This window comes from Homo sapiens, chromosome 3, assembly GCF_000001405.40.
Source record: "Homo sapiens chromosome 3, GRCh38.p14 Primary Assembly".
Classification (NCBI taxonomy): domain Eukaryota; kingdom Metazoa; phylum Chordata; class Mammalia; order Primates; family Hominidae; genus Homo; species Homo sapiens.
In genome coordinates, this window is record NC_000003.12 from 113286127 (window position 1) to 113313441 (window position 27315).

At 40.4% G+C, this 27315-nt stretch overlaps 2 protein-coding genes and 1 long non-coding RNA gene across 38 annotated transcripts in view, besides 1 other annotated feature; 1 reads left to right on the forward strand and 2 right to left on the reverse strand.

The window, feature by feature from the left end:
* Positions 1-1333, forward strand: part of BOC (BOC cell adhesion associated, oncogene regulated) — a 76534-nt gene extending 75201 nt beyond the window's left edge. For all 31 annotated transcript variants that reach the window (NR_170866.1, XM_047449188.1, NM_001378075.1 and 28 more), the window contains one exon: positions 549-1333. Coding sequence is in view for 30 of the 31 variants with exons in the window: in XM_047449188.1 (XP_047305144.1) it covers positions 549-736 (188 nt within the window). In the remaining variant the exon portion in view is untranslated. The remainder of the gene's footprint in view (positions 1-548) is intronic.
* SPICE1-CFAP44 (SPICE1-CFAP44 readthrough (NMD candidate)) overlaps positions 804-27315 on the reverse strand; it is a 228227-nt gene continuing 201715 nt past the window's right edge. For 4 of the 6 annotated variants that reach the window (NR_183046.1, NR_183049.1, NR_183048.1 and 1 more), the window contains 7 exons: positions 22032-22142; positions 20075-20205; positions 18910-19026; positions 17790-17991; positions 10599-10759; positions 8561-8695; positions 804-5622 (listed from right to left, as the gene is read on the reverse strand). This is a non-coding gene — a long non-coding RNA (SPICE1-CFAP44 readthrough (NMD candidate)). Of the gene's footprint in view, positions 5623-7825; positions 7913-8560; positions 8696-10598; positions 10760-12174; positions 12272-17789; positions 17992-18909; positions 19027-20074; positions 20206-22031; positions 22143-27315 lie in introns of all 6 variants that reach the window. The other 2 variants (NR_183045.1, NR_183050.1) reach the window with 2 other exon arrangements.
* Positions 804-27315, reverse strand: part of CFAP44 (cilia and flagella associated protein 44) — a 154585-nt gene continuing 128073 nt past the window's right edge. Inside the window, exons 29-35 of the mRNA NM_001164496.2 lie at positions 22032-22142; positions 20075-20205; positions 18910-19026; positions 17790-17991; positions 10599-10759; positions 8561-8695; positions 804-5622 (exon numbers count right to left, since the gene is read on the reverse strand). Of these exons, the coding sequence (NP_001157968.1) occupies positions 5431-5622; positions 8561-8695; positions 10599-10759; positions 17790-17991; positions 18910-19026; positions 20075-20205; positions 22032-22142 (1049 nt within the window). The 3' untranslated portion in view covers positions 804-5430. The remainder of the gene's footprint in view (positions 5623-8560; positions 8696-10598; positions 10760-17789; positions 17992-18909; positions 19027-20074; positions 20206-22031; positions 22143-27315) is intronic.
* Positions 26159-26714: an enhancer, noted in NCBI's record as "NANOG-H3K27ac hESC enhancer chr3:113031132-113031687 (GRCh37/hg19 assembly coordinates)". NCBI's record gives its function as "activates a minimal SCP1, AML or CMV promoter by ChIP-STARR-seq in naive and primed H9 embryonic stem cells {active_cell/tissue: H9 hESC(naive and primed)}" and the evidence as "EXISTENCE:reporter gene assay evidence [ECO:0000049][PMID:30033119]".

Below are 27315 nucleotides of genomic sequence, written 5' to 3' on the forward strand. Positions count from 1 at the left end.
GTGGATACTTGGTGAGGGCACCAAGTATCCACTAACGTTTCTTAGCTTCTCTGTGTGTGTGCCCATTCATAGGCAGATCCTGGACTCTGTCTCTAGGAGATTAAATTTAAAAGATGCTGGGTCCTAAAGCTCGACCCAGCATCATTTAAACTGGACCGTGTCAATCTGGGGGGACTGGATTGTGAGTGGGATGATTGTAACCAGAAGCCATAGCAAAGGGTGGACTAGCCGCCTAAACATAGAAAGAGCAGGGCTTCCTTCTGCGTTTCACGGGCTGCACTGACTTCATCTGCTCCTGTGGTGTGGGCTCAGTGCGGGAGTCTCTACAGTCCCAGCATGAGTGGGAAATGGGTGGCAAGTGGCCCTCCCTGTTTTGATGAGAGACCTTGGAGGGAACAGAAGTGCCCTTGTCTCGGTTGTAGGTTTCTGTCCCCTTTCCAGAGCCAGTGTAACCACCTCCACCACAGATAGAGATTGGCCCAGTGTCACTGGGTGTTGGCTCCTCGGTCAATCTGGATTTTAATGGTTCCTACTCTTTCTCCCCTCAGGGCCCCCATGCTGCTTGGGCCTTGTGCCAGTTGAAGAGGTGGACAGTCCTGACTCCTGCCAAGTGAGTGGAGGAGACTGGTGTCCCCAGCACCCCGTAGGGGCCTACGTAGGACAGGAACCTGGAATGCAGCTCTCCCCGGGGCCACTGGTGCGTGTGTCTTTTGAAACACCACCTCTCACAATTTAGGCAGAAGCTGATATCCCAGAAAGACTATATATTGTTTTTTTTTTAAAAAAAAAAAGAAGAAAAAAGAGACAGAGAAAATTGGTATTTATTTTTCTATTATAGCCATATTTATATATTTATGCACTTGTAAATAAATGTATATGTTTTATAATTCTGGAGAGACATAAGGAGTCCTACCCGTTGAGGTTGGAGAGGGAAAATAAAGAAGCTGCCACCTAACAGGAGTCACCCAGGAAAGCACCGCACAGGCTGGCGCGGGACAGACTCCTAACCTGGGGCCTCTGCAGTGGCAGGCGAGGCTGCAGGAGGCCCACAGATAAGCTGGCAAGAGGAAGGATCCCAGGCACATGGTTCATCACGAGCATGAGGGAACAGCAAGGGGCACGGTATCACAGCCTGGAGACACCCACACAGATGGCTGGATCCGGTGCTACGGGAAACATTTTCCTAAGATGCCCATGAGAACAGACCAAGATGTGTACAGCACTATGAGCATTAAAAAACCTTCCAGAATCAATAATCCGTGGCAACATATCTCTGTAAAAACAAACACTGTAACTTCTAAATAAATGTTTAGTCTTCCCTGTAACCTTCAAACTGAGTCATGTGTGAGTCAGCATTTTCTTTACATGTTAGAATTCAGTCTCTGAGTATTTGAAGAAAATACCCACTTACAATATTTTCAGGTCCATCAGAAATGAGATCTGAAAAAGGTAGTAAATGTTTCTCTTTTTTGTTTTTTAAAACAGTGAATGTCAGTTGTGCTTGGATTCATGCAGAACACATTACCGTTTAGTCCACAAGGGAACCGTTGTACAACAGACCAGGAAAAACAGGTTCATAGTTCTCTTACCAACTGGACTTGAGATGAAGTTTAGGTCATATTGAAGAAATAGAACTAATCTTTTTTATATAGGTGTGTGTTGAAGACCAAATATTTTCTCCAAAATACTGTTTAGCTAAGTGCTGTGCCACACATGGACATATGGTGCATAATAAATTCACTTCCCTTCTTTCCAAAGATACACCAACATTGCCAGAGTAGTTGACTCACTAGTTTAAAATCAACATTTACTTACTGTTGTCCAACCAAAGGATCAACCATAGATTCTTTTTTAATTGAAATTTTAAAATCTTTATATGTGGAAGTGGAATTAGATGGAGACTGATGCTTGCAATGAAAGCCTTACTACGCTTTGTGTTTTGGGGCTGGAGAGGGTGGGGGGAGCCTGTATTTTCTAGATTTCTGTAAAATTGAGTTACAGATGAAATGCCACTTGAGACAATCTCGTTAAGTGGGGGGCCAGACCCTGGCTTTTAAACATGAAGAATTTGATAAACAGGGTCCTAGGGAAGAGTCACTCTGACTGTTTAGGGCAAGTGCATCCTCTGCTGGCCAAAATAAGTATAGCACCTGCTATTCCTGACTTCTGCATCCTTTTTCCATCAAGCTCAACGTCAGAGAGAACTTCATGTGGAAGTGCAGCATGGTTTTCAGGAAAGCAGTATTTTAAAAATATTATTTAAAAGGAAGGACTGTAAGGAACAGGTAAATGTTAGGAAATGAGAAGCAGAGCAGGGAAGAGAAGAGAAAAAATAAGATACTGTGATTTCAGACAACCTGGCATCACGGCCCAGAGCTCACTTCTGGGGTGGGTAGGGCTGACGCTCTCAGTCATTGCTTTGCTATCCAGAGGCCCCCCAATCTGAGCTGTAACTCACCTTCTAGCCCCACTGGTTTTTACATTTTTTCCTTTTTCTCCTTGATGATCTAAGGTAGCTGTCAAAATGAAGTCTGGTGAACTTTTCTGAAGTGATAGGTGAAACATCTGCTTTCTGCACAGCACTGGAATCATAGCACTCAATGGATTTAGCTCTAAAGAGAAATTTAGCACATGGCTCACAGACCTCCCTAAGCTGGGGAGCCCGCTGTGGTGGGACAGGCTGGCTGGCAGGCATGAGCAACTCCTTTACTCTGAAGTTGTGACAGAGGGGCTGGACTCTGTGGTTTCTTTTTCTTCCAATGCTGAGATTGATCATCGGTGATACTATGGATGACAGTTCAGAAGAGCCAAGTTATATGAACAATTGACCCACAAGTAACTCAGTGTAGGCTGATTTTTGGCCTTACCCTCAGAGGTGAGGCTGCTCCTCTGGGAGCACAGCAGAAGGCAGGGAAGTGTGCCAGGAGCAGGATAGCTTCCCAGCCACCCTGCCCATGCCACACCCTGCTGGTCTACTTGTGTTTGAAGCTTAACTTCCCAAAGACTCAGATGCTCTAACTTAACTACAGATTTAAGACTAAGCCTGGAATCAAGTTGAAATGAACCTAAAGCTATCAACATATTTTGTCCAATTCAAAATAAAGTAATTCAGTGTTAACTGTCGTCAATTCCCAAACATGCGGAATGAAGCCCTGAATATTGTAGAATTAACTAGTGATTTAGTCCAGCTCAGTTTGGGAATAATTATCCCGATTAGCTTTCCTCTCAGTTGAAATGCACAGCAAGTCCTGATGTGGCTCTTCTGTAGACTGTAGGTCCATTCTTGCTGCAATCAGAATCAGAATCTCAGAATGGGAAGGAACCCATTCTACCAATCCTTCATTTGTCAGATAATAAAATGAGGCCCAGGAAGATAACGTAACTTCTCCTGATTCTCTACAATTACCAAGGGGATGGTATCGCCTCAAGACCTTTCTCAGAGACCAGCCACTCTCTCCAGGCAGCTGCTTCTTGTGGCTGCCAGCTCCCACGAAGGCCCCGGTGACCCCCACCTGGCATTCACACCCTGTTCAGTCCCCTCCCACATCACACAGGGTCAGCCTGTGACCCATATGACAATAGTGACGCTATGTCACTTCTGAGCTTGGGCTGTAAAAGACTGTGGCTCTTGTATACATCATTCTCTCTTGCTGTCTCCCTCACTCTTGGATCACTTGCTCTGGGAGAAGTCATATCCCAAGCGGCCCTATGGAGAGGCCCACATGGCGAGGAACTGAAGCCCTGCCTAATGGCCAAGGGAGTGAATTTGCTAATAGCCCCTCCAGCTCCAGCCAAGCTTCAGATGGCTGCAGCCCCAGCTCCTAGTGTGACTGCAACTCCACGAAAGACCCTGAGCCAGAACACCCGGCCAAGCTGTCCCCAGATTCCTGGACCTCAGAAACCCTCTCACTCCTGGGTGAGATCACAAGTTTGTTGTTTCAAGCTAAGTTTGGGGGTAATTTTTTACCGCAATAAATAAGACACTCAGGGCTATGACTAGCATATTTTTAAAAATACTTGAAAGGCACACATGGCTTAGGATATACAACACAGAAAGTGATTTAAAAAAAAAAGTGGGTGCTCTCCAGTAGAGAAGTGACTACATCAGAAATTAATGGTGACAAGTGCAAACAATAAGGTATTCTGACCTCTTAAATAGGAATATGAAGGAATCTTAGGAAGACAATAGGCCAAGTGGCCACCTCTAAGAATATGCTGATGTACAAAGAAAGCAAGACCTGTCTGTAATTTTGGGGGGCACATTAGCAGGCTAATCACAGGTGAGGAAGACTTGGCATTGCTGAGTTCCCTTCTACATTTATGCAATGTTCCTTTCTTCACCCGCCCTTCTCAGTGACCAGCTTATCCTGGAACAGCCTCAATGAGTAGCTCGTTAATACAGAGCTCTTAATCTAAAGAGCTATGCTCTGTTACTAACAGGATTCCAAATGTCAGTGAGATTATCCTGCAATGGTTATAGCCATGAACTTCAATGAGCACTTACCCCCAAACCAAAAGGATACTCTTCAATTAGTTTAAAATGTTATGCATAATCAAAGGTGATTGTTAAAGATGATCTCTAGTAAATCTATTTCATTATCTCCTCATCTATATCAAAACCAGCAAATGGCCCAAGTAAAACCTGAAAGAAAATGGCAGGGGACATGAGAAACTATGGGGAAAACTTAGAATTCTGACGGAGTTGCAGAAATCTTTAAAGAAAAGCCTCTTTATTGACTGTTTTATTAAGCATGCCCCTCTGCTCCACTCAGAACTGAGGAGTCTACAAAAACTGTGGGCAATCCAAGAAGGCTGGTTATTTTCCTGCTTTCTGCCAACCCAAAGCAAACTGCTCTGCCATGTCTGTTTGTATTTCCTGAATCCTGAGCCCTCAAAACACTGCTTTATGAAGTCAACAATGCCAAAACTGAAATTTGCATTTCTATTCTAAGATATAGCTGACAAAATGTCCTTTTCTCCTGCATCCTCTCAGAGAACACTTAATAACATCTAAGTTTATTTTCTAAGGATCAAGAAAACAAAGTTTTCTCATGAATTGCTGAATGATAGTTTTTCTTGCCAAGGGCTAAAAATTCAGGATACCCCCAAATCAAATTTTCCTAAAACAAAATATATTACAGGTGATTTGCTGCAATCATGAAACACAGCCTTCCGAGACTTCATATTCAATCTAGTAGGTTCGAAACATCTAAAATGATTCAGTTTCATAACAGAGGTTGGGTGCTGCAGTCAGTTCTAAGATAACCAAATTGTAGAGAGATTCTTAAAGTGACTTAACGTGACTGGATCTGGTTTTACACTTTCAGGCGAGTTCAGTTTAAAGTAATAAGATTGTTGGAGGTGATGAGGAGACAGAACTTCCAGTGAGTTATGTCAGAAATCTTGTATGGGTTTGAGAAAATAGCAAACTCAAAGGTCTGCGGGCTGTATCTCTTTCTCTCGTGGAGACTGAATGGGTGGGAGGATAAGACTGCCTTTCCTACGCAAAAGAGCAATCTCCTCCTTTAAGGCCGAAATCCTTTCCGCCTGGAGTTGGATCAATTCAGTGACCTCCTCTCTTGCCACAACATCTGCTTCCCGAGGGCCCTGGAAGGCATTGCCCTGTTGAAAGAAAACAGCTCCCTGTTGAAGCATCATTTGGCATGTGAAAAACTCCATGCCCTTATACTGTGTATCTGTGATGAGTGCTGGCCTGACAGTCACCCTAAACAGCCACTGTTCCTTAATCTCGGGAGCCTTCAATTCCTCTGCTAAAATCCCACCATTAGAAATGTGTGCCTTTGGGCTAATAAACAACTCTTCAAGTGCAAATCCTCTTTGGATGAGTACACTTTAAGCTAGCTATCAGTCATTCATTACCTAAAGAGCTCATCACTGGAATAATAAAAGACAGAGTATGTCTTTCTTTTTCTGGACAGCCCATATTTGGGTTCCCAGAATGAAATCTTCTGTTTCCTCATCGGAGTTATTTCCCTGTCCAGCTGACTCCTACTCATGTTTCACACATCACTTTCAGGGAGGCCTTCTTTGCCCCATGGACTAGGTTAGGATTTCCTGCTTTCTGTTTTATCGAAACATCCATTATACATATACATCACTATAATTTACAGAATATTACATGGTTCATTCTGAACCATGTAATATTTATGATATTTGACCATTTTTTAAATCTAAAACAATGGCAATTTAATATAGCATGACCAAAGTGCTTGTTTGATACCTATCTTTCCTGCGAGATCCTGTCTTTTAGAAACAGGGCTCCATATGACTAAGTCTCATCACTCTGCCAATACCTGCCCTAGTGCTTTCTACATAAGTAGATGCTCAATAACATTTGAATGCATGAATACATCTGTGAAAGGAAAGACATAATACTTGCGTGGTGCCCACTTTGTGCAAGGTGCTTTGCATATGCTCTCTCATCTAATCCCCAAAATGACTCTGAACTGGGTGGTATCATTCCAGTTTTACAGATAAGGACATTGAGACTCAGGGAGTCATTAACTAGCCAAGTCAAGCTGGAAGCAGAGTTAGAAACAGGTTGCCTGATGCTAAAAGTCCATACTTTTTCCATTACTCCTATGTACTATAGCAGACCTTCATAGTAAGGGTTACCCAACACCCTCTGCCTCTTCTCCCTTGCTCACTTTTATTTTAGAGCCCATGAAAGCTAAACACTTAACCTTACCCATTTTCTCTTCCAGCTAGAGAGAGCTAAGTGGATATAATCTGAAACTTTTGCTCCTTAATAAAAGGGACAGAAGAGGCTGGTGCATGGATGTGAAACATGGGAGCTGAAGCAGCTGTCATGTGACTTTGAAGGAAACTTTAGGAAAATCACAGAGATATGGGCTCTGGCATCATGGTCCTACAAAACCAAAGCGTGTAGTCATCTCCCTCTAGACTTCTTGTCAAGTGAGAAAAATGACTCCTATTTGTTTAAGGTACTCTCAATAGGGCTTTTGGTTGCTTGTAGCTAAAAGCATGCCTCATACACCAACTCATGCCCAGTCATTCCAGTGGGTTACTTTGAAGTCACCTCACTTTCCCCTTCTCCTCACCAGACTCAATCAAATTTTGGTTATTCTTACTTTGAGATGGCTTTTGATATTTGACACATTTTTGTTGTCACCAACTATATCCCAATTCCTGCCTACATCATTGTAAGAAGCAATGGAGTCAGCGTTGGAGGCAGACAGACCTGAATTTCAAAACTAACTTCACCATGCATTAGCTCTAAGAGCTTCAGCAAGTTACTCAGCTCCTCTGAGCTTTAGAAAGTACTGTTTTGGGGATTAAATGAAATATCCTATGTGAAGAGGCCATACATGTAAACATATACTGTGTAAAGAGACAGATAACTAGTAACTTCCTCTCCCATTCAGCTGATCTCCTGCCTCTAAGCTGTTTCCTCTCCAATGTATCTGGACTGATCAAAGCACATCGACTCAACAAATGTTGACTGACTACTCAGTCTGTGAAGATTTGGGTTAGGTATTAACCTTCTCAAACACTGCCTTGATCCTTCACTCAAAAGTTCTTCAGTGGAAAAAGACCCCTCAATATTCAAATTCTAGTCTTCCTTTCACATCTAATCTTCAATTATAAGCCTTCCCAATCCTCCTAATTCACTTTTCATGGAATAAACAACATTGTTTCTTACTTTGGGACTTTTGTTTAGACCAGTGATTCTTAAACTCTAGTGTGCTTCAGAATCCCCGGGAAGGCTGGTTAATGCAGACTGCTGGGCCCCTCCCCTCAGGCTTCTGAAGCAGTACAACTGGGTTGGGGCCTTAGCACCTGCATTTTAAACAAGTTCCCAGGTGATGCTGATGCTCTTCTTCAGAGGACCAAACTGTTGGAACACTTAGCTTAGACCATTTCCAGGGTTCTGAAAGAAAATATAAAGCAAAGAAGACCAAGAGAAACAACTGGCCTTTTTGCAGGTAATATTGTTAAGTATATAACATAGAGTTTGGAATATGCTATACATGTGTTAGGTTTGTAGAGGGCAAGACTTGGATTGGGTAAATATTAATTAGGTATATCCACCACATACAATGTATTAAGTACAATGTTAGGCTGGCTAAATATTATGTAATAGCAAGTTGAAACCCACACAAAGTGACAAGCATTTTAATAAGAAAACAGGGTAGATTTCACCACTCAAGATGCCCACTTCAAGTCAAATGAAATTTGCAGATATTGGAAATACATGTTTGACACCAAACCCAGGGCGTATAATGGTGTCGTTATTCATACCTAAGTAACCTTACACCTCTCCAGGACCAAGGCAATTCTATTGATTAGTACTTACGTGAGTTCATGGCACCCAAGAGGCGTTCAATAAAGCTAGTCCCTCAGGCCCACTGTAATGTGGCTAACACCAACTCAGTGTCCTCGGGGACGCAGATGGTCTGGAAGTGGTCCAAGATCAAGCAAGGTTTGTTTAAATGCCAGTACTTAACATTCTTGTGAATAGCTACCTTTGACAGAGCTTCCTCAATTCCGAAAAAGGGTCTGAAGGTAAAGAACATACCTGCTGATTCTGTAGTGTATTCAACCGAGAATCAAGTTTCTTCTTTTCAATACACAAATCATTCATCTGATAAAGCTTTCTGGTGTGTTCTTTTGTCTTCATCATCAGTTCCCATCGCATTTGAGCAATCTTTTCCTACCAGGGTGGGAAGATGCAAAATAGATGTAGTGAATACGAGAAGAAAGAAAGAAAAATGAGTGTCCAGATTTGGTCAAAATCATCAGGCAAATGGAGCAATGTGCCCATATGAAAATATAATCAGAAGCCAATATGAAAATGCAACACAAAGTGCATTGGGTCTGGTTTGATTAAAGATAAGAATATAAGTATGCTCAAGAATAGGAGTAGGTAGAAATAAGATAGATGTGGACATCATTGTATTATTGAGGAATGAAATTACTATGCATACTGATTGCTGGTACTCATTACTTAAAAGGAAGGGTGATAATTTAAGCAGCTAACTTTTCTGTATTGCTTTTTCCCCATCTTTTCCCAGTCTTGGCCCAGGATCCTTAAGGTAGCTGGCTTGAGTGGCCACACATCTGTATAATGGCTTTCTTTTGTTTTCTTATTGCTCCATCGGTTGCTCACTGCAACCTCTAACTTCTGGGCTCAAGTGATCCTCTGCCTAAGCCTCTCAAGTAGCTGGGACTACTGGTGTGCAACACCACACCCAGCTAATTTTTTATTTTTTGTAGAGACAGGGTCTCACTACATTGCCCAGGCTTCCAACAAATTATTTTAGATTGCATATATTATCGCCAACATTCCCTTAATAGGGACCAGTCCCACTGACATGAACACTATTTGCTTCTTTAAAGTACAGTGGTACATCTTGGATTAGAAAAGTTGAGATGGAGCCATTGGACAACACAGCACTAGGAAGCTCTCCTCCTACCCCATCTGCTAATGAGATAAGACAGGAAACTGGAGAAGTCATCATGATTTTGTGGACTTATAAAATCTTTGTGAAAGCTCCTATCTCTGAATCAGGCTGGAACCAGGCCAAGGCTCATCTCATGGCTCAGGGAACAATATGTAGGCATTAACATCCTCTAAGACTGTATCAGCCAAACAGTCTATGCCTTGTTACAAAATTTATTACTTAGAGGTGTTTCATAATTTCCAAATTGGCACAGCATGCAAAAACCATACAGTAATACAATTCAAGCCTGAGAGGATAGCCACTCCATTTCTAAAACTGTCAGAGCATTTATACTTTTTAAAAAAATGTAGGTTCAGGTGTACATGTACAAGTCTGTGACTTGGATATACTGTGTAATAGTGAGGTTTGGGTTTCTAGCAGACCCATCACCAGATAGCAAACGTTGTACCTAGTAGGTAATTTTTCAACCCTCACCCCCACCATCCTCCCCGCTGCTGGAGTCCCCAGTGTTTATTATTTTCATCTTTATGTCCACATGTACCCATTGTTTAGCTCCCACTTATAAGTGAGAACATGCAGTATTTGATTTTCTGAGTTATTTCATATAGGATAATGGCCTCCAGCTCCATTCGTGTTGCTGCAAAGGACATGATATCATTTTTTATGGCTGCGTAGTAATCCATGGTATTCTATATACATATATATACATACACACATACACAGCACATTTTCTTTGCCCGACTGGTGTGAGATGATATTTCATTTTCTCATTGTGGTTTTAATTTGCATTTCTCCAATGATTAGTGATGCTGAGCATTTTTAAATATAATTTTTGGCTGCAGAGCATTTATACATTAATGTAGGCCTCAAAATGAGATCTCTCCATAATCTTTCATCCATTTTACATAATATTTATATGCACCCTGGACCCCAAAACCTAGTGCTGGTGCTCTCACTCCAAGATAAACAAGTCCCTCTAACTAAGTGAACAGTAAAGAAGCCGAGACAAGGCCTAAGATCCTGGGGCAGCCAAAGGGGGCTCGCGGACCAGCTCCAGCTACACAGATGCTTCATGGGTACCACTTCCTGCTCCCTGGGATTTCTTGCCTCCAGCCAGATTCAACCAAAGATCAACCCCCTTCTCTTCCTTACCTCCCACATCTTCATCTCTTTCGCATTTGCTAGCTCCTTTCGAAGTTTTCTGATCTTCAGTTCTTCAAGTGTTGTATTAACAGAAAGCGTTTGAAGGGCTTCTAGATTTACCACACGGCCAAACTTGCTGATCATGAGCTGCCGGACTGTTTCCTCCATTTCTAAAAGAAGACAGTCACTGGCTCAGGTTGTTCAATGGCTCCCATTGTTATAAATGAACACCAGGAACAATAACATTCTAAGGAACTGCTTTTGCAAGATGATGAAAGATTTTATGCCATCAGTGATTTTTCTTCTGTGATTTTTTCTGCTGCTTTCCTCATTTAAAAATGCCCATTCGGTATTGTCTTTTCACCTTCTGAATCCTGTGTAAAACTGACTCAATGTTCCCAACTGGATTATGGACTGATCTGCCCCTCCTCAGACTGTTAACAGGCACCAACTAGATTATGAGCTTGTCAGTTTTTTCAAATATGGCACTTTACAGCATCTAGTATTAAGAATAGAGCAGGCACTTCAGAGAAGTCTCCATCTTACTCCAGGTAAATAATGACAATCCCTTTGGGAATTCAGGAGGCCCTGCATGGTCAGCCTGCCTACCCTGCTTTCTCTCCCCGCTGCTTTCTCATGCCTCTCCTCCTTACCACCCTACTCTAGACACACTGGCCACCTCTGTGCTTCTCAAACATGCCAGGCTCACCCCAGCCTCATTTCCTCCTATCTGAACTGCTCTTCCCCAGAGATCCACACGGCTTGCTCCTCCCAGCCCATTTTCTAAAAGCAAGCTGATACTGGAGCTGTGACTAAGAGCAGGCTCTTATCCTCTAGCCAGGGATAACTACATATTATCAGATGTGCTGTCTTTCCATGGAGGCTTTCCCTGCCTCCCATGGACCTCAGCACTCTTTTTCTCAATCCATTTTTAATTTTTCTTCTTAGCAACTAACTAACATGTAAGATCTAGCATGCAATATATTTTACTTTTGTTTTTGTCTTTCCCCAATGTGAGAACACTAGAACACCTCTCCAAGAAAACATAATCTTGTAACAGGACTTTCTCAATGACCAGACTGTCCCCTAAGAGAAGTTTGAAGGCCTTAATATGCAGCAAGATGATTCAATTCTTTTATAGTGCAGAAATTTGTATTGGGGCATAATTGTTACAATTTACATTTGAATTAGAATAGTACAATTGGCATGGCTGCCATTATGCACAATCCAGGAGGGGCTATTCACTTTCTATTCTATGTAAGTAATGCCCCACGGACATGTATAATGTGGTGGCCATCTAATCAGTGACGCAAATGAAACGATGAATAGATGATGTGCACGTGTGTGCTGGCCTGTGGCTGCCTGCCTGGCCTCTCTCAGTAAAGAGCTTTGATTTCCCCTCAGCTAGCCCCACCCCCATACAAGGGGTTGCCCTCTTGCATGGCAGCCTCATATACCAGAACATGTACTCTGATCCCTGCCAGCTCCATTGTGGAGCCAGCCCAGTGTCCTTCTCCTATGCTGAAGAGGCCAGCAGCTAATGCTCAGTAGGGACATAAAGTCTTCTGGAACACTCACTACCCACCTTCCCCATGGCTGTGAGCTGTGCTCTCCCTAGAATGGAGAGAACTTATTCCTTCTCACCCTCATGTTCTAGGCTCTCCTCTTCTTCCCCATTGGATCTAGAGATGGAGAAAGGCAACAAGCTAACTGCAGTGTTATTCACCACTTCTAAGCCATATGGTCCAGCCATATATCCCAATTCTGGGCACATATCCAAAAGAAATGGAAGCAGAGACATAAAGAGATATTTGTACACTCATGTTCATCACAGTACTATTCACAATAGCCAAAAAATGGGAAGCAATCCAGCTGCCCATTGACAAATAAATGTGTAAACAAAATGTGGCATGTACATATAATGGAATATTATTTGCCTTAAAAAGGAAGAAAATTCTGACACATGCTACAACACGGATAAACCTGAAAGACATTATCCTAAATAGAATAAGCCAGTCACAAAAAGACAAATACTGTATTATTCTCCTCATTATGAAGTACTTCGAGTAGTCAAGTTCACAGAGACAGAAAGTAGAGTGGCAGTTTCCTGGAGCGGAGGGAGAGGAAAATGGGAGTTACTGTTTAGTGGATATGGAGTTTGGGAAGATGAAAAGTGTTCTGGAGATGGATGGTGGTGATGGTTGCACAATCATCTGAATGTACTTAGTGCCATTGAACTGTCCACTTACAAATGGTTAAAATCATAAATGTTATGATATGTACATTTTACTGCAATTTAAAAAATAAACTTAGAAATTATTAACCCTAAAATAAAAGATTAATAAATTAAAATCACACAGTTATTGTTCATCAAAAGCCACCATAAAACAATCAACAAAGTAAAAAGATAACTCACAGAATGAGAGAAAATATTTGCAAATTATTCATCTGACAAGGGGTTAATAACCAGAATATATAAGGAGCTTGAACAACTCTATAGAAAAATATCTACTAATCCAATTTTTAAATGGGCAAAAGATCTGAAGAGACAGTTCTTAAAAGAAGACATACAAATGGCAAACAGGTACATGAAAAGGTGCTCAACATTGCTGATCGTCAGAAAAGTGCAAATAAAAGCTACAATGAGATATCATCTCACCCCTGTTAAAATGGCTTTTATCCAAAAGACAGACAGTAACAAATGCTGATGAGGATGTAGAGAAAACGAAACCCTCATACACGGTTGGTGGGAATGTAAATTAGTGCAACCACTTGGAGAGCAGTTTGGAGATTCCCCAAAACACTAAAAACAGAGCTATCATATGATCCAGCAATCGCACTGCTAGATAAATACCCAAAAGAAAGGAAATCAGTATATTGAAGAGATACCTACACTCCCATATTTATTGCAGCACTATTCATAATAGCCAAGATTTGGAAGCGACTTACTGTCCCTCAACAGACAATGGATAAAGAAAATGTGGTACATGTAGACAATGGAGTACTATTCAGCCATTAAAAAATAAGATCCAGCTAGGCACAGTGACTCACACCTGTAATCCTAGGGCTTTCTGAGGCTGAGACAGGCGATTGCTTGAGCCCAGGAGTTTGAGACCATCCTGGGCAACATAGCAAGATCCCGTCTCTACAAAAACAAGCAAAAAAGTTACCCAGGCATGGTGGTGTATGCCTGTAGTCCCAGTTACCCAGGAGGCTGAGGCAGAAGGATCACCTGAGCCTGAGAGGTCAAGGCTGCAGTAAGCCATGATTGCGCTACTGCACTCCAGCCTGGAAGACAGAGTGAGACCCTGTCTCAAAGAGAGAGAGGTCTTGTCATTTGCAAGAACATGTATGGATCTGAAGTCATTACATTAAGTGAAATAAGCCAGGCACATAAAGACAAACTTTGCATGCTCTCCCTTATTCGTGAGAGCTAAAAATTTAAACAACTGAACTCATGGAGATAGAGAGTAGAATGACAGTTACTAGAGTCTGGGAAGGATAGTGGAGGTGGGGGATGTGGGAATGGTTAATGGGTACAAAAACAGTTAGATAGAATAAATAAAATCTGGTATTTGATAGCCCAGCAGGGATACTATGGTGAATAATAACTTAATTGTACATTTTAAAATAACTAAAAGAGTATAATCGGATTGTTTGTAACATAAAAGATAAATGCTTGAGGTGAGGATATCCCATTTACCCTGATATGATTATTAGACATTGTATCTCTGTATAAGAATATCCCATATATCTTATAAATATATATATATATATACCTACTATGTACCCACAAAAAATAAAAATTGAAAACAAATTTTTAATTATCTTTAAAAAGCCTCCATAAACGTGAAAACAAAAAACCAAAGGAATATATTTGGAAAACCCATAACCAACAAAGGATTAGTATCAAAAAAAAATTCATACATATCAATTTTTTTAAAGGCAAACAAATCAAGAGAAAAATGAACAAAATACATGAACAGACATTTTATAGAATAGGAAACATTAAAGGCCCAAAGACATATAAAATGTGCTTAACCTTATTAGTGGTTAGGAAAATGAAATTAAGACCATGAGTTACCACTTTATACTTTCCAGTTTGGCAAAAATTCAAAGTCTAATAAGATTATGTATTTTCAATGATGTATGTAGCTCAAAGGGGACTCTTAAGTGCCGCTGATTGGAGTGTAAATTGATGTAATCATTTTGGAAGATAATTTAACATTTTTTAAAAAGTTAAACACTTATATGCCCTACGACCCAGCTGTTCTACTTTTAGGTATGAAACCCTTATATTTTTAGAAACTCTTGTAAACATATACCATGTACAAGAATTTTCATAGCAGAATCATCAAAGCAAAAGAACATAAAGCAATTTAAATGTCCACTGTCAACAGAAGAATGAATCATTTTAGTAGAATCATATGATATATTTTACAATGAAGACAAACAACAGCTATATGCTATATTACGTCTACTCTTATGAATATAATATTAAATGAGAGTATGTTTCAAAAGGCTACATATGATGTAATATTTCTACAAAGTTCTAAAGCAATATATTATTTAGAAGTACATGTAAATATAACTTTTTTTTAATGAAAGGGAATGCTAAACATAAAATTGGGAATGGTGGCTATCTCTGAATATGGGGAGACAGAGAATGGGATGGAAAAAATGCACACAGATAGATGTTACAGTGTTGGTAATAATATTGTTAATAAGTTGGGTGGGTGGGTTCATTCTGTTGTAATACTCCACTGCTTATATGTATGTTCCACATATCAAATATTACTAAAGTATTTTAAAAGATAATTATCTTTATACCATACATCTTATACTATATACCTCAATTTTAAGTGGGTTAAAAACCCAAATGTGAAGGGCACAACTAATTAGGAAACTACTGAAAATGATCTTTTTAAATGGACAAAAATTGTATATATTATCATATACAACATGCTGTTTTGAAATACACACACATTGTGGAATGGCTAGATTGATAGATTGAGCTAATTAACTTAAGCATTGCCTCACATACTTTCTTTTTCATGTTGTGAGAACACTTAAAATTTACTCTTAGCAATTTTCAAGAATATAACACATTGTTATTAACTATAGTCATCATAGTATACAATAGATCTCTTGAAATTGTTCTTTGGATCTCACTGAAATTTTGTATCCTGTGACCAACATCTCCCCAAACTGTACCCCAGCCCACAACCACAGACCCTGGTAACCATCATTCTATTCTGTTTCTATGAGTTTAACTTTTTTATACTCTGCATATAAGTGATGTCATGTGGTATTTTCTTTCTGTGCCTCTTATTTCACTTAACATATTGTCTTCCAAGTTTATCCATGTTGTTGCACATAATAGGGTTTCCTTCTTTTTTAAGGCTGAATAGTATTTCATTGTGTACATATACCACATTTTCTTTAGCCACTCATCTGTTTATGGACACTTAGGTTGATTCCGTGTCTTGGCAATTGTGAATAATACTGCAGTGAACATAGGACTGCAGATGTCTCTTCTGCATACTGATTACTAATTTCATTTCCCAGTAGTGGAATGGTTGGACCAAAAAATATCTTTATGACCTCAAAATAGGAATGGATTTCTTAAGCAAGACACACACACATACACATAGTGCACAAACCATAAATAAGTAGATTGATTAAAAAAATTACTATATTAAGATTTAAAACATCTGTATCCAAAGATACACTAGACAAAGTAAAAAAAAAAAAAAAAAAAAAAAGATAGCCAGGCACTGTGGCTCTCGCCTGTAATCCCAGCACTTTGGGAGGCCAAGGCAGGCAGATCACCTGGGAGTTTGAGACCAGCCTGGCCACCATGGAGAAACCCCATCTCTACTAAAAAACACAAAAATGAGCCGGGCGTGGTGGCAGGCGCCTGTAATCCTAGCTACTCGGGAGGCTGAGGCAGGAGAATTGCTTGAGCCCAGGAGGCAGAGGTTGCAGTGAGCCAAGATCACGCCACCACGATAGAGGTGAGACTCCAGCCTGGGCGATAGAGTGAGACTCCATCTCAAAAAAAAAAAAAAAAAAAGAAAAAGAAAAGAAAAAAGACAAGTTACAAACTAGAAGAGATTTGCAGTGCATTCAATGGACAAAAAGGATATATTAAGAACTCCCTAAAATCAATTTAAAAGCAAAAAATAGAAATCAAAAATGGACAAAGGATAGGACAGGCAAGTTACAGAAAATAAAATAAATAAATGGCAAATATATGTATGTAAAGATATTTAACTTCACCAGCAATCAAAAAATGTGAATAAAAACCACAATGAAATGTAATTTAACATCTCACAGGCTGGCAAAAATATTAAAGTCTGATAATATCAACTGTTGATGACAATATGGAGCCTGGGCAATTCTCACACATTGCTAGGGGAGGAGAAATTTGTTCAACCACTTTGGGGGCAACCTGGCAATATCCAGGAGAGCTGAAAATGTACATATCCCTCTGTAACCCAGAGACCCAGTACTAGGATTCACCTTCTCACACATGTGCACAGGGAGATGTGTACAAGAAGGTTTCCTGTAACATTGTCTATAATAATGAAAAATAATAAATATCCTAAATATCCATCAATAGGAGGCTAAATAAAATATTTAATATTCATAAATGGAATTTTGTAGCAGTAAAGTGAATAAACTATCTGTAGTTTATGGATAACTTAAAAATTGGTTTAATAAAGTGAACCACAAAATGATATAAATATCATTTTGCACAGTTAAAAATATGCAAGGTAGGTCTCCATATTGTGTGTGGACACATCCATATGTATGTGTGCATACCTGGTGGTGAACCCCGAGGAAGGAGCCACAGAATTGCATTAGAAAGAGATGGGGCTTCGATTGTATCTCAACGTTTTCTTTCTTAACCTGGGTAGTCTTGCACTTGGGTTATTATTGTATTATTCTATATTTTAATCATACACAAAGAGAAGATGATTCTATGACAAAAGATTTCTCCCTTTAAAACAGGAAAGCGAGCTTTTCATGGCATCAGGAGAAACGGTGAGTAGGAAGATGTTGTGGTGTTCTTGTTTCCCTTCTCAGTGGTTCTGAGTCTGCAATTACTATTTTCACAGTTGGAGACAGTCACCTGGATAATTCCCTTTCTTACCAATAAACCTTACTAGCAAGGCTGTGGGCTTAGATACTCACTGTGTATGGTTTTTGTCATTTCTCTCTTTTCTCGGATGAGCTGTTTACGTCTCTCTCTCCATTCTTTGTTAAGTTTTTGCTGCTTGGAATTTTCCTCCTGGAGCTCATGGATTCGTTCTTGCAGCCGTCTCAAGGCATGGTTAGAGAAGACCAAAGTACCAGAAAGATCGCTAGGTATTTCTCCAAATACCACATACTCTATCTACAAGCATAAAACAAATCAAAAGAAAATAGACAAAAACACAGATTTTGTATGGCAACAGAAAGCATAAGAGGTGCACTTCCTTCTTTGCCCCTTGTTTAGCTCCTTGCCTTTGGGCTTCTACGTCTTCCTTACTGAGTAACAGTAGCCAGGCAAACACAGAAAGATGCTGTCAGACAGAAAGCCACATCACGTCTCTGTGGGGATAGCAAATCCTCCCACACAGATCATGCCTATTATCTACTGCATAATGATGTGACAAACATTTCAGGGCTGGCATACTAGGCAAACCGCTCCATTTAGCTCATCCAGTTTGGGTCAGGTTACACAAAACATATATAAGGCTGATCTTGTTGTTGTTGTTTTCCTAAAATACAGCTTTTTCTCTTAACCTGACAAAGGAGAATACAATAAGCCTTTTCTCTTAATGATATGTATTCCTGCAATTTAATATAAGTTGCAATTCAAATAGAAATGAACAAGAAAAGTAAAAAAGAGAAAATATTTTCCTTTTGTCCTGACCTCCCTCACCAATGAGTAGAGACTAAGCAAAGGTCATTTTAGCATGATTAGTCCATGTATAGATAAAGATGGTGTGAAAAGTGGCATGGGTATAAGAGCCAAGATTTCACCCTCTGAGCCATTGCATTCTTAAATCATAGGCTCCTCATTTCTCTAGACTTGAAATGACTGATTTCCAAAGTGCTAATGGGCCACAGGGAAATATCCATGTTTTGATGTTACTCTTTTATAACAATCTGACAGTGGATAAGACAAGTGTAGGTGTCATTCTACAGGTGGAATTCTCAACAAAGAACCACGATTCTCCCCATTAGTGAACTATGAATCTTTCTCTGAAAAGCTTGGGTGTGATGACTCTTCTCGGACAGGATGGAGCAGCCTCCCCAGACGCATCACCTGGTGGAGCTTGAGCGGAATCACAACTAGCAGTTCATTCAGCCGCTGCTGCTTCTCTCGCTGATAAGCCTCCAGGGCCTCCTCTGCTGCATTCAGATTAGTTGCCACAATTTTCACCTGTAGAAAGCCCCGTGTTGTGAAATGGTGACAAGACTCAATAAACATACATCTAAAGATGGTGAATGAAGGCATCTTGGGAGGAAGTAAAGCATGAGCAGAATCTGCTTTGTTGGGCTGTGATTAAGTGCATGATCCCAGTTTGCAACTCAGGAATGCATATTATTTTCTTTCTGCCAAGTTATGATCCACATCACTCTTCAGTCATTTCTATGACTCCAGAGTTATAAAGTTTTGTGAATAAGAGCCCAGAAGACATGTCCTCATCTCCCTTTTATTTTCTGCATGAAAAGCAGCCCATCAGCATGGAATGTCTTTGACAGAATGGTGGGAGTCTTTTTTGGTCATGACTTCAACAAATTAAAGAAAGTTTCAGTGCTTTAAAGCAATGAAACTGCTAACTATAGTATTTCTAAAGCACATTCTCCATGTCCTAGAAAACCTGAAAGTTTTCCAAATCATTTCCTGTTTGCAAGAGGAGAAATAATACATCAAAAATATTTCTGAACATGAATGAAGTTAAGTGATGTTGCTCTAGACAAGAGTACCTAAGAGGGAAAGTGAGCAGATTAAGGCAGAAATTGGTGGTCTCCAACATGGGATGCATGCACCCCAGATGATCAACAAAATCATCTATTGGGGTATAAATTGAAAATGTCAGAGTTTCTATTTCTATTTATTTTTATCTCATTCTATTTAATTTCTGTTTTTGTGGATGTTTCCTATTGTACAAGATACATAATAGTTCATAAATACAATTTATAAATACATATACATTTATTGTATGGGGAGGGGCTCCATTTTCATTTTTTTTACTTATACAGTCATCAGAAAAGTCTGGAGACCAATGACTGACATAAAGTAAGTCCAATGATCAAAAAAGCAATGTCCCCCACCACAATTTAGGGAGAAAAAAACCTGCCCTTAACATTTGAAATGTTTCTTTTCTGAGAAGTCCTAATATTGTCATTGCTATAAAAAGGCAATATTATAGCTAGGAGGATGTGTAGCATTTTGAGAGGATAAATAAGTAAACAGATCACCATACTTTTTTTGACAATGTATCATATTCCTTTTTGAGGTTATCAACAATTTTCTTTTCTTCAACTAAAGCCTCCTCAATGTCCAGCCTTTTCTCTCGAAGGTGAAGGGCCAGCTCAAAAAGAGCCACATCACAATCTGCCAAGAGAATTAAAATAAAAACCAGCCTCATTTGTTATGGAATGTGGTAGTACTAAAATTGTGAACTTTGGAGATTCAGAATCAATAATGTCTATTTATGGATCCACTCTAGCCAGCTTTTAAGACACTTATGGCTTAATTGTTCCAGGTTGAAATTATTAGTATTACTAATAACCATAAAATAATAATAGTATTGATGTTGTGAGCAGTACTCTGAAGCAGGCTTTGTGCTAAGCCCTTTATGTATGTTATCTCACTCAAGGCTCATAGACCCTGCAAGGCAGAAACTATTATTCCCATATATAGGTGAATACCTTAAGTCTCAGAGAGGTGACATAACCAGTACATAACAGAATGGGATTCAAGTGCATTATCTCTCTATTATTTCCACAATATCACACTAAGAGCCACCTTTATCCACCAAGTAATAGAGAATGTAGAAATGGAATACTAAAATAGAATTCAGGAAGCTTAGATCTAGCCCTAGTGCTATCACCATACTAACTGTGAGTCATTCTTCAAGCCATTTAATTATCCTGCTAAAAAATAATGAGTTGGCATTAGGTTTGTGTGCTCTATTTCACTCATAAATATTATGATTTTTAAAGACCATTGTATTCAAAAGTAAAACAAGATAAAAACTTTATCTGAAATTAAACTTTTAAAATTTAATTAAAACTTTATTTGAAATGTCTAGAAAAACAAATTACAGATCCCAAAACTTGTTTTTTCTCTACTGAACCGTTCATCTATTGAGACTGCAAGAAATTGGTCTGGCTGCTCCAGACTGGTTTCACCAGTGAAAACAGTGAATGTAAATTGTCAAGCATTTCCAGGAAACTAGTCAAAATGCCCTTACAAAACAGATCTGCAACACAAAAATTTGAATAGGTTTGTCAAAAAGGGAGATTCCTGTAAAATATATATGTAAATTACAGTCTGGCATTTCTCTATAAAATTAAACTTGCTACATAACTTATAACTCTGAATCAACTGTCAATTGTCTGCATATTATTTGTCACTCATAAATGGCTGCCTAAGAGAACAGATAATAAATCACCCAGAGAGCCCCCAAAAGTATTCATTAATGTTTTCCCTGACCATACTATTGGAAATAGCAATGTGCCTCTCCATCCCCACTCCTGCACTCCCTTCATTTCTTTTCCCATAGTATGTACCACCTTCTAAGATTCTGTTTAATTGACTTCTTATATTTATTGTCTTTCTCCACTAGACTATAAGCTCCATGAGGATGAAGGAGTTTGTTTTATACTTTGATGTATCCTTAGCATCAGATAAGTGCCTGGCACATAGTAGAAGTTGAATATTATTGAATAAAGAAATAAATATCCTAGCTAGGCACGATGGCTCACGCCTGTAATCCTAGCACTTTGGGAGGCTGAGGCAGGTGGATCATGAGGTCAGGAGATCAAGACCATCCTGGCTAACACGGTGAAACCCTGAAACCCCGTCTCTACTAAAAAAAATACAAAAAATTAGGTGGGCGTGATGGCATGCGCCTGTAGTCCCAACTACTCGGGAGGCTGATGCAGGAGAATAGCTTGAACCCGGGAGGTGGAGGTTGCAGTGAGCCGAGATCGTACCACTGTACTCCACCCTGGGTGACACAGCTAAACTCTGTCTCAAAAAAATAAATAAATATCCTTACACTTAAAAAAAGGTATTCATTAGACTCTATAACATACATTTTGAACTATCCTTTTTTTGAATTATCAGAGCACAGAGAAACCAAAAAGGGTCTTCCCAGTATTGCCAATCAATATTCACACTTCACAGAGAACACGTGGTTTTATCTAACTTACTTGTTGGGCAAATAGAATCATCAAAAACCTCATCTTCTGATTCAGACTCATCTTCATCACTCTCCAAGCTAGATTCTTCTTCACTTGATTCCTCACTCTCCTCATCTTCATCTATGGAAAGAGGAGGGCATTGTTAACAAAGAAGCTTCTATATTAAACTAAATACTAGATTTTTAAAGTAAACTATTTTTCAATGAGTTAGTCACTAGAAAAATAACTCAATATAAGAGTTTAAAATGGTTAAGGACACAAAGAACACAAACCCAAATGCCTGCAGAGGGTTGTGCAGTTACTATCAATGCAAGTCAGAGGCTGAGACCAAGTTCCCAAGCTGCAGATGTTGTAGTCCACCTAAAACACAGTTAGTGAAACAGACCCACAATTCCTAACTCATAAGATGCTCTAAAATCAGACAAAAATTTTTTTTTCTTTTTTTTTTCTTTTTTCTTTTGAGACAGGATCTGGCTTTGTTGCCCAGGCTGTAGTGCAGTGATGCAATCTTGGCTGACTGCAACCTTCACTTCCTGGGCTCAAGCAATCCTCCCACCTCAGCCTTCTGAGTAGCTGGAATTACAGGCACACACCATTATGCCCAGCTAATTTTTGGTTTTTGTTTGTTTGTTTGTTTTGTAGAGACAGGGTTTCGCCATGTTGCCCAGGCCGATCTTGAACTCCTGGGCTCAAGGGATCTGCACAACTGGGCCCCACAAAGTGCTGGGATTACAGGCTTGAGCCACTGTGCCTGGCCCTGAAAAGATTTTCATAAGTTATCTGAAATAAAGTAATGACATTTCTAGTCTTTATTTAACTTGGTATGAATATTCATGTTTTGCTGCAGAAGTACTAAGATGTTTGATTTTGGGATTCTGTACCAGAACTTGCTAGTGGTATCATGTTGACAAAGACTCTCTCCTTTGACCCCACTTGAGTCAGGCTTCTCTGAGTCCTTTTTCTGACTAGTTCCTGACCTTGAGCTGTGTCCTTAACCTATTTAGTCCAATTCTAGCAAGAATCCTGCAAGTTAATTTAGAAAAAATTTCCCACTTCTCCCAATGGAGAGAACTTGATATCTGATCAAATTCCTCATCACTCCACCTGTATTATCTTATTACCTGGCTTGCCCTCAGCAAAAGTCCTGTTAAAACAGTCTAGAGAAGAATTACCCTACTTCTTAGTAATTTTCTGTCCACTGACGCCCACTCTGTTCCTTGGCTATAAATCTCCACTTGTCCTTGTTGTATTCAGAGTTCAGCCCCATCTCTCTTCCCTGCTACAAAACCCCATTATAGTAGCCCCCCTGAATAAAGTCTGCCTTATTGTTTTTAATAAGTGTCAGGAATGATTTATTTATAATATCATATCATATATAATATCTTCAGAAATATTTCTGAACACAAAAATACATCTGTCCCTAAGGGTTTTGGATAAGGGGTTGTAGACCTTTCCACTCCAACCTGCCCCACTTTCTTTCAAAACACCCTGAGGTCATCTATGAACTACAGATCACCAATTTACAATTTATAAATACAACTAAACATTATATGCAAAACAAACATAAGAAGACTCTGAAAAAATGGAGAGAAGAAAGTAGAGCAACTATGCACCTTAGAACCTGAGGAACAACACTGTGGCGAGTTCCTTGGATATTCTTTTAGCCTCATCTACCTCAGACTTGGAGAAGAATAAGTTGGCAGCCTAGAAACACCAACAGATCTATAGACACAGAAAGCCTCAACAAAAGCTTGCTCTCTCTAGCCAAAGGACCAGGGAAGGGGCAGCCTAGCAGGAGAGAAAACTTTTAGACAGTAACTCTTCTATTCCAACCAAACACCACAGAAAAACTCTGGTACAATCCCCAACTAAATCAGCAAAGGTTAAGTGGAGAGGCTAGACATCCACCCTCACAGGGCTGTAACGAGGTGTCCCAACACTCCCACTGGATGGTGTTAGAGAAGGGCAAGCAGGGAGCCAGTACATTTATTCATGCTGGCTGGTAACCAGCCTCACCCCCACCCTCACCACCAAGATGCCTGTGGAGGCCATGTGATAGCCTGGACTTCCACTCCCAAGGTCAGTAATAAGGTACTCTCCCCTCTCCCCTCAGGGGTGGTATCAGAAGAACATTAATAGAGAATCAGGACTTTCATCATTATCCATAAGTACTTGCCATCCCCACGATGTTGATCACAGAAACTACATGTGGAGCTGGAACCCACACCCATACATAGCAGTATCAAAGAGGCCCCCTATCCCTTGGGTGACAATGAAGTCTGAATGGGGAATATAGACTTCTACCTCCACCAACAGTAAGGAGACTCCCATCCCTTTCCTTGTCAGATTAGTGTTTGAGAAATTTGAGTAAAACAGAAAATTTAAATAAGATACAAAGTCTCATAATACAACATGAAAGTTTTTAGGATTCAATTAAAAGTCACTCATACCACAAACCAGGAAGATATCTGATATGGTTTGGATCTGTGTTCCCACCAAATCTCATGTTGAACTGTAATCCCCAGTGTTGGAGGAGGGGCCTGTTGGGAGGTGATTGGATCATCAGGGAGGAATCCCTCGAATAGTTTAGCACCATCCCCTCAGTGCTGTTCTCATGATAGTGAGTGAGGGAGTCATCATGAGAGCTGGTTGTTTTAAAAGTGTGGTGTGTAGTGCCTTCTCTCTCACTCTCTTGGTCCTGCACCTGCATTATAAGATGCCTGCTCCTGTTTTGGCTTCTGATGTGAGTTAAAGCTCCCTAAGGCCTCCCCAGAAGCAGGTGCTGCCATGCCTCCTTTATAGCCTGTGGAACCATGAGCCAATTAAACGTCTTTTCTTATAACTTACCCAATATCAGGTATTTCTTTATAGCAATGCAAGAATGGACTAATGCAATCTCCAACTGAGTGAAAAAAGAAAACCAATAGCTGTCAACACTAAGATGACAGAGATATTAGAATTATCTGATAAAGTATTTAAAACAGCCATGATAAAAATGCTTCCATTAGCAAAATTTGAACATACTTGAAGGAAATGAAAAAATGCAAAGCCTCAGCAAATAAATAGAAATTATAAAGAACTAAGTGAAAATTTAAGAACTGAAAAATACAATAACCAAGTGATATGGTTTGGCTCTGTGTCCCTACTGAAATCTCATCTTGAATTGTACTCCAATAATGCCCACATGTTGTGGGAGGGACCTGGTGGGAAATAATTTGAATCATGGGGGCAGTTTCCCCCATACTGTTCTCATGGTAGTGAATAAGTCTCATGAGCTCTAATGGTTTTATCAGGGGTTTCTGCTTTTGCATCTTTCTCATTTTCTCTTGCTGCCACCATGTAAGAAGTGCCTTTCACCTCCTGCCATGTTTCTGAGGCATCCCCAGCCATGTGGAAGTGTAAGTCCAATTAAACCTCTTTTTCTTCCCAGTCTTGGTTATGTCTTTATCAGCAGTGTGAAAATGGACTAATACAGTAAATTGGAACCAGTAGAGTGGGGCGCTGTTGAACAGATATCCAAAAATATGGAAGCGACTTTGGAACTGGGTAACAGGCAGAGGTTGGAACAGTTTGGAGGGCTCAGAAGAAGACAGGAAAATGTAAGAGAGTTTGGGACTTCCTAAAGATTTGTTGAATGACTTTGACCAAAAGTCTGATAGTGATATGGACAATAAGGTCCAGGCTGAGGTGGTCTCAGATGGAGATGAGAAGCTTGTTGGGAACTGGAGCAAAGGAGACTTTTGTTAGTTTTAGCAAAGAGACTGGGGGCATTTTGCCCCTGCCCTAGAGATTTGTGGAACTTTGAACTTGAGAGAGATGATTTAAGGTGTCTGGCGGGAGAAAATTCTAAGCAACAAAACATTCAAGAAGTGACTTGGATACTGTTAAAGGCATTCAGTTTTGTGTGTGTCTGTGTGTGTGTGTGTTTTTTTTTTTTTTTTTTGAGACCAAGTCATGCTGTCACCCAGGCTGCAGTGCAGTGGCACCATTGCCACTCACTGCAAGCTCTGCCTCCTGGGTTCACATCATTCTCCTGCCTCAGCCTCCCAAGTAGCTGGGACTACAGGTGCCCGCCACCATGCCTGGCTAATTTTTTTTTTTTTTTTTTGTATTTTTAGGAGAGATGGGGTTTCACCGTGTTAGCCAGGATGGTCTCCATCACCTGACCTCATGATCCGCCCACCTCAGCCTCCCAAAGTGCTGGGATTACAGGTATGAGCCACCCCGCCCAGCCTAAAGGAATTCAGTTTTAAAACGGAAACAGAGCATAAAAGTTTGGAAAATTTGCAGCATGACAATGTGATAGAAAAGAAAAACGCATTTTCTGAGGAGAAATTCAAGCTGGCTGCAGAAATTTGCATAAGTAAATTGAGGAATGTTAATTCCCCATTGTTGTAGGGAATGTTAATCCCCAAGACAATGGGGAATATATCTCCAGGGCATGTCGGAGGCCTTCACACAGCCCCTCCCATCACAGGCCTGGAGGCCTAGAAGAAAATGGTTTCTTGGGGAGGGCCCAGGGTCCCCGTGCTGTGTGCAGCCTAGGGACTTGGTGCCCTGAATCCCAGTCACTCCAGCCATGGCTGAAAGGGAAAAACATAGAGGTGGGGCCATGGCTTCAGAGGGTGCAAGCCTCATGCCTTGGCAGTTTCCACATAGTGTTGAACCTGTGAGTGCACAGAAGTCAAGAATTCAGGTTTGGGAACCTCCGCCTAGATTTCAGAGGATGTATGGAAATGCCTGGATACCCAGGCAGAAGTTTGCTGCAGGGGTGGGGCACTCATGGAGAACCTCTGGGGCAGTGTGGATGGGAAATGTGGGGTCAGAGCCCCCACACAGAGTCCCTACTGGGGAACTGCCTAGTGGAACTGTGAGAAGAGGACCACTGTCCTCCAGACCCCAGAATGGTAGATCCACCAACAGCTTGCACCGTGCACCTGGAAAAGCCGCAGACGCTCAATGCCAGCCCGTGAAAGCAGCTGGGAGGGAGGCTGTATCCTGCAAAGCCACAGGGGTAGAGCTGCCCAAGACCATGGGAACCCACCTCTTGGATGTGAGACCTGGAGTCAAAGGAGATCATTTTGGAGCTTTAAAATGTGACTGCCCTGCTGGATTTCAGACTTGCATGGGCCCTGTAATCTCTTTGTTTTGGTCAATTTATCCCATTTGCAATGGCTTTACTTACCCAATACCTGTAGCCCCATATTATGTAGGAAGTAACTAGCTTGCTTTTGATTTTACAGGCTCATAGACAGAAGAGACTTGCCTTGCCTCAGATGAGACTTAGGACTGT